This window comes from Homo sapiens, chromosome 8, assembly GCF_000001405.40.
Source record: "Homo sapiens chromosome 8, GRCh38.p14 Primary Assembly".
NCBI classification, from domain to species: domain Eukaryota; kingdom Metazoa; phylum Chordata; class Mammalia; order Primates; family Hominidae; genus Homo; species Homo sapiens.
Window position 1 is genome coordinate 127,546,138 of NC_000008.11, and position 6,982 is coordinate 127,553,119.

At 39.7% G+C, this 6,982-nt stretch overlaps 1 annotated feature.

Annotated features, from left to right (window-relative positions):
• Positions 4,126-4,175: a silencer, noted in NCBI's record as "silent region_19527". NCBI's record gives its function as "represses an Ori minimal core promoter by ATAC-STARR-seq in GM12878 lymphoblastoid cells {active_cell/tissue: GM12878}" and the evidence as "EXISTENCE:reporter gene assay evidence [ECO:0000049][PMID:35858748]".

Consider the following 6,982-nt stretch of genomic DNA (forward strand, 5'->3'; position numbering starts at 1 on the left):
CACAGACTGTGGATAGAGTAGCTTCAGACAGAGGTCTATTTGATGCCACATGCCTCTTTTTTTCTCCCTACAGTTGAATTTTGTCTCCTTTGCAATCTCAATGGTCCTGCCAGTGATCCAACCCCTGCTTACTGGATAATGAGAATTGGTCCCTGTCCTCCTTGGCACATCCTTTCATGTGCCTGCCAGAGTCTGAGCACCTCACCTGGCTCATCCTCCTCTGCAGACTCGCATGCTCTTCTTTCTCATCCTCTTTACATAAATCCCACCCTGGCAACCTTTTATCACTCTCTGCTCCTCTCCTTTTAACTGGTTCCAATCTCTCAGCCTCTACTCTTTAAGTGGGATTTCCAGGACTGAAGACAGCCTGCCACAAGATCCTGAAGATACAGCAGGGTTAAACTGAACCATTACTTGGTGCATTGTTAACAAGTTTCTCACTGACTCCAGCAATGGACCAGTGCTAGTTAGGGGTTCAGGGTGATAGAAGGGGGCATATAGGCAACTTTTGAGAAATGAAGACAGTGTCACTCAATGAAGCAGTGGCGAGAAAAGTAGTCAGGTAAGATGGCAAGTGCAGAAGTGTGAAAATGGAACTCAAACCCATACAACAAAAGTATTGAACACCAAGTTTGCATAAGGCAGATTCCAGGTACAAAGATGCATAGAGTGGAGACACAAAGGAGAATAAAATATCCTCTCCCTCAAGGGAGCTGCTGTCTAGCTCTTCCCTGCCCAACATGGGAGCCACTAGCCACACATGGTTACTGAGCACGGAAATGTGTCCAGGCCAAATTGAGATGTGATGTAAGTGTCAAATACATTCCATATTTTGAAGACTTGGTCTTCAAATGACAAAAAAGCATGTGAACATCACAGTAATCATTTTTACGTTGATTACTAATTGAACTAATAATATGAACATATTGGGTTAAAAATGTTATTAAAATTAATTTCATCTGTGTCTTTATACTTTTTTTTAAATAAGGCTACTAGAAAATCTAAACTTGTATATGTGGCCTACGTGACATTTCTGTTGGAGAACACTAGTCCATGCAGCAAGATGGGTATGGACCCAACACAGGAAACATGTAAAACTGTAACACATGATGAATTAGACACAAGTGTCTATGATCAGGAGGTGGGGGGGATTCCAAGTGGGGGAAGCACAGCAATTACTTATTTACACAATTACATCGTTTTCACAATATCCATTGGCTACTGAGCTTTAAAAATCTTTTTTCTCATTAATTTCCTTGTGTGTTCCCAGATCTGAGAATAAACTCTTTGTGTGCAAGGACAACCTCATCTCCCTTTTTAAATTCCCTCAGTACCACCTCCCAGAAGTTACCTCAGTTCTAGGCACACAAGGAATGCCTGTAGAAACCAATGAATCTCACATGCATTTATCTAGACTCTATTTCCGATGAGCCAATGTCCATATAGGCAAGTATTCAAAGTAGAGAAAAGCTATTGGCCAGAGCATGGAAAAGATAAATAGACACAGACATCATCAAATGGACATACAGGAGCATTTATTGGCTGCTTACTATATACCAGGCTCTCAATTTCATTCTTTATATATAATACCTGACATAAACCTTAAATCATCCTGCAGAAAAGCTAATCTTATCCTATTTTACAGATGGGGAAACTGAGGCTCCTAAAAGGTTATATAACTGCCTAAACATAGTTAATAAGAAGGCAATAATGAAAGGAGAGATCATGTCCACATACTTGAAAGCTCAGGGATATCTCTTTATGGAGCACATCTGCATGAGGATTTCAGCTTCTGCTTTGAATTACATTGTTAACTATTGTACAAGCAATTTGTCTGAACATTTGGAGAAAGATGTTGTGTAAGTACTTGTATCCTCTCTGTAGGAGGAAAATTCAGCAGGATACAGGTGACATGACTTTGCTCTCTTTTGCATCCAGCTGCCGAAAAGTATCCCTCTTTTGGAACTCCAGATTGTGTCTTAGCCTGCAGGTTCACACTATTTGGACTCCCAAACTCATAACGTAAGACTTGGAAACCAGCCAGTGAAAGAGGGAGGGAAGGAATATTTTTGCAATTGCTGCAAGAACTTTCCAAGAGCTATTCTTGGAGCTAGGAGTGTTGGCACCAGGCTCTCAAAAAGAGAACAGGGAAGGATTCTAATGTGGAAATATTCTAAACTGTGTGCTTGACAATATATACTAGATCCCACCACCTCCCCCCACCCCCGAATAAAAAAAGCCACTAGTGACAGAGGCTCTGGTAGAGTAACTGAATACTGGCTGGCTCATTGGTGGACTTGCTAGTGCAATAATCCCATTTAACCAAAGGTGGGGTAGTGATTGCCAGAATTCAGATCCCAGCTTTGCGGGATACTAGCCACATGACTTTGAATAAATGAGGCTCTCTGTACCTCAGCTTCCTCATCAACACAATAAGCACAATAATAATATCTGCCTTAGAGAGTTGTTACAAAGTTTAATTCAAGTTCATATATATAATGTGTTTTCAACAATGTAAGGAGTAGCTGTTATTATTATCATTTTTAATGGGCTATCACAACAGGTAGCTCAGTTCTAGTATCTTCAACAAAGATAGGGTAAAACAAGAGTAATGCTACTTAAAAAGACACTGTCTCCCCAACAATGCATGGAAATAGTGAGATTTTCTTGTGTCTACATTTAGTGGGGAAAGAAGTAGAACAAGTTGGTAGAATATGAGAAAGGCAAACTAAGGCATAAAGAGATTAGAAAAAACAAAAGGAGTTATTAAGAATGTAAACTTTGTATAAGATGAGCCCCCATATTTTCTAGGAAGGTTAAATCACAACCTTCCCCCATCTCTATAACCCTTTTCATTATTTTCTTCCCTTTACACCATACTTTGAAATGATATGTCAGTAAGTTCTTACTAAGTAATAATTTAAAAGCTTTAATTTTGTGTGTTATTTGGAGATGGAAGTAACTGCCCAAAAGAGGTCCTGAAATGATTTAAAATGCCAAGTTATTTTGAGCTGATAAAATTCTACTCTGCAGGATGGTGTGGCAGTACAAATTGTACAAAATGCTCAGTGTGTCCTTTAAGAATTCTGATGTCAATTAAATCCATCACAAATATCAGACTGGAATGGAGTGTCAGGAACCAGTATATCCGGAGCTATTTCTTGTTTCCTGATTTGTCAGAAAGAGCTCAGACACAAAGCTCAGAGTAATTGCAAAGCTGGACAACAATTTTCAGATCGATGACATTTTGACCCTAACTTGCAACTACTTAACATGCAATCTCAGCATTTAACAAGCTATTTTCTTATAAAGTAATTTTAAATTACATCTTAATTGCTTTTTTGCACTTGAAATAAAGATAAACAGAAAAATAAACAAAAAGAAATCATGTTGTCATGATACTTACCTCCAAATATGTTTGTTCATGCCTCATCTATGTGATTAATGTTCAATGGTCAATTAAGAATTTCTTAAATGAAACACCACCACCACCATCCATCACAGTCTAGTCATAAAATGTTCAGTTTCACCATTTGTAAAATGAAGCTAAAAGTGCTTACTCTTGGTATGAGGTTTGAGGATTAGGCCTACACCTTCCATTTGAGTTCATTCTTCCCCTCACTGGGAACCACCAATAAACAGAAGAAGCAATTGTGGTTGAGAGCATAGGCTTTGCAGCCAAACTTTGAGGTCTGGATCCCAGCTCCAACATCTTATATCTCTGTGACCCTGAGGAAATGACGTCTTTGAGCCTCAGTTTCCTCATCTAGAAAGCAATACTCATGAGCGTATCCACCCGAAAGGGTTGTTGTGTGGACTTCCACAGATGATGTAGGCTGAGAGATTGGTACAGTGTCCAGCAAATAGTGAACAATTGATCCATGTCAGCTACCCTATCATCTTCATTCAATAAATGAAGCTCTGAAAGGACCAACATATATCTAATGGATGTCAGTAGATACATGTTGAATGAAAGCATCTGAGGCATTGTATCCTTGGGCCCAGGGCAGATAGCCAAGGAGGAAGGAGAAACCCTTGACAAAATTTTTCTCCCTTTGAAAGCCAAGGGTCACCAGGCTATATAGTTAAAGTATTAAAAAGCCAACATTCTAAAAAAAATTAAAAATAAAAATAAAAAAAGCCAACATTCTAGCTTCTCTTTCTTGATCTACCCCACCTAGGGGAGAGAGAAGAGGAAATTTCCCCCAACTCCACCCAAGCCTCCTAATGAGCGCATAGAAGAGAAGGGATGTCTCACTTCCTTGTCATTGTCTCATTTTAGCTTCTTCTGGTATTACCCTACTTGGTGAAACCTGAACTAGGATTCTGAGGCCAATTTTATTGCCTAGTTATGGATGTAAAGTGATGCAAAGTGAGCCCACGCTGTTGAGAGGATGTAAATGGATTTACCAAGCTAACACTGAACCATAATTCAAAAACCTCAGGCCTGACACTGTCAGATCTTCAGGCTCTGGGTGCACATGGGTGGTGCAGAGTGCGTCCCAGGCACTGAAGATGACCACCTCGCATAGGTGCACTTCCAGAAGACCAGATGGAGGCAGCTGGGAAATCTTCTCACGGCCCTCATGCCTTGGCATCCTGATGACGCACTACCCTGCAGAGAGTGGAGGGCACCCAGAAATTCCCCAACCCACTCACTTTGCTTATCAGTATCCTGTCTTCCCCTTAGTAAGGAAAACAAAAAGAGAACACAACTGTTGAGTTCAGGATGGATGGGCCCAGAAATAATTTCAAAATGTAGCCTTCTTTCCTTCATCTTTTCAGTAAATATGTACTAAGGACCTAGGTATCAGTTTATTACATTGTAAAACAAACCTCCCAAAAATTACTGACTTAAAACAATGACCACTTTTTTTTAGTTCTTCAGGTCAGTAACTTTGTCTGTGTTCTTGAGGACAAAACTGTGTCTTATACAGCTCTAGATTAACAGGTACCAAAGGGCCTTGCACACAGTAGGCATTTGATAAATCAAGTTGAATGAATTTAGTAATTAGAAAACAATTGATGATGGTTTAAATCCCCTTGGGGCTCAATTTATGAGCAAGAGGTCAATCATATTGACCAACATGATTGCACTCATTTTAGAAAGTGTATGTTCCCTGTTGAATCTCTGTGTCTATAAGAATCCCTGGCAAATAGTAGGTGCTTATAAATATTTTTAAATGAATGAATGCTCTTTCCAGAATCCAACACTTCTCATCATCCCCTTTTCTACCACTGTATCAATGCCACTGTTATCTGTTGCCTTGATGGTTGTATTAGCCTCCCAACTGGAGTCTGGGTCATTGTCTCTTTATTACCCTCAGTACACCAGCCAGAGGAATCCATAAAAATATGAGTCAAATCATGTCACTCCTGTGATTGAATCTTTTCCTTGGCCCCTTTCTAACTCAGTCTAAAACCTGAAGCCTTTACAGTGCCCTACATGGCCCCACGCTTCCTGCCCTCTTGTGTCCTCTGCTTCTTCTTGTCTCCCCTCACTCCCTCCTCCCCACACTGGCCTCTTACTGTTCTGTGAGCCCACCAACTGCCCTTCCTCATGCTTTTAAATTTGTTATTCCAAATGCCTTGAAGGCTCTTCCTTACTTCCTTCAATCTTTTCCTAAATGTCATGTTCTCAGCGGGGTTTTCCCTGAAAACCATGTTTGTAATTTCATTGCAATCTCTTCTTTATCTGCTTTATTTTTCCCTATAGCCCACTTATCTCCATCTAGTATGATATATATTTTACTCATTTATTTTGTATGTTGCCTGCCTCCCCCAAACTAATATATAAGCTCCCCATGGGCAGGAATTTTTATTAGTTTGTTTACTGCTAAATCTCCAGCACCTAGAACAGTGTCTGGAACAGAGTAGGTCCTCAGTAAGTAACTTTTGGATGAAACCATAACGTGCTCTATGAGAAGTGTACATTTTCTCAGCTAACACTGAATCCATGCCATATGACCCATCAATTCTACTCATAGGTATTTGTACAAGAGAAGTGGAAACTATGTTCATACAACATTGTACATTAATGTTCATAGTAGCATTTTATAAAGCCATAAAAGGGAAACAATCCAAATGTCCATCAACTGATGAATGAATAAATACATGTGGCAAATCCATAAAATGGAATATTATTCATCCATGAAAAGGAATGAGGTATTACACATGCTGCATTGTATGAAGCTTAAAAACATGAGGTTAAGTGAAAGAGGCTGGTAACAATGAAGTATGAAGTGGAGAGTGACTGCTAAAGGTTATAGAGTTTCTTTTGGAGGTGATTACATTTTTCTGGACTTATATAGTGGTGATGGTTTCATAACTTTTTGAATATACTAAACACCCTGACGTGTACATTGAAATGGGTTATTTCTATGGTATGTGAATTATCTCTAACTTTTTTTTTAAGTTGCAGAGACAAAACAAAAAACAAAAAACTTGAATCCAACATTACCCATGTCATCCCAGAGGTTAGATCTCAAGTCTGGGGTCACCCAGCTACCTAGAGATGAAATCAAGATTTGCACTGTTTATTCAAAGAATTATTGCCTGAGGCTCTGTTTTGTCTTAAGCACTGCTTGGTGGAGCAAACAAAACAAAACAATATAAAGTATGCATTTAATGTCCAGTTCATTTGGAGGACAGACAGCTATGAATACAAATAAATAAAATTGAAGGTTCCACCTAAATACGAAAAGATAGGTGGAAGCCAAGAGCACGAGAACACAGAAGGGAATATTGTTTATTAGGGATGGTTTCCTGGAGCCAGGCTGGAAAGAAGGTAGGGATTCTGCAAGGACAGGAAAGGAAAGGAGGAGCATTCTGGCACACGGAGCTTGAGAAAGAGCATGGAATTCCCCAAAGGACAATGAGGAGGGCAGAGGAAAAGAATGCAGGAGAGACAGGCTGAAGAGATGCACCCTGAGGGTGCTCAGTCCCCTGCTATGCAGGCTGCATTTTCTCCTGTAGGCAACTG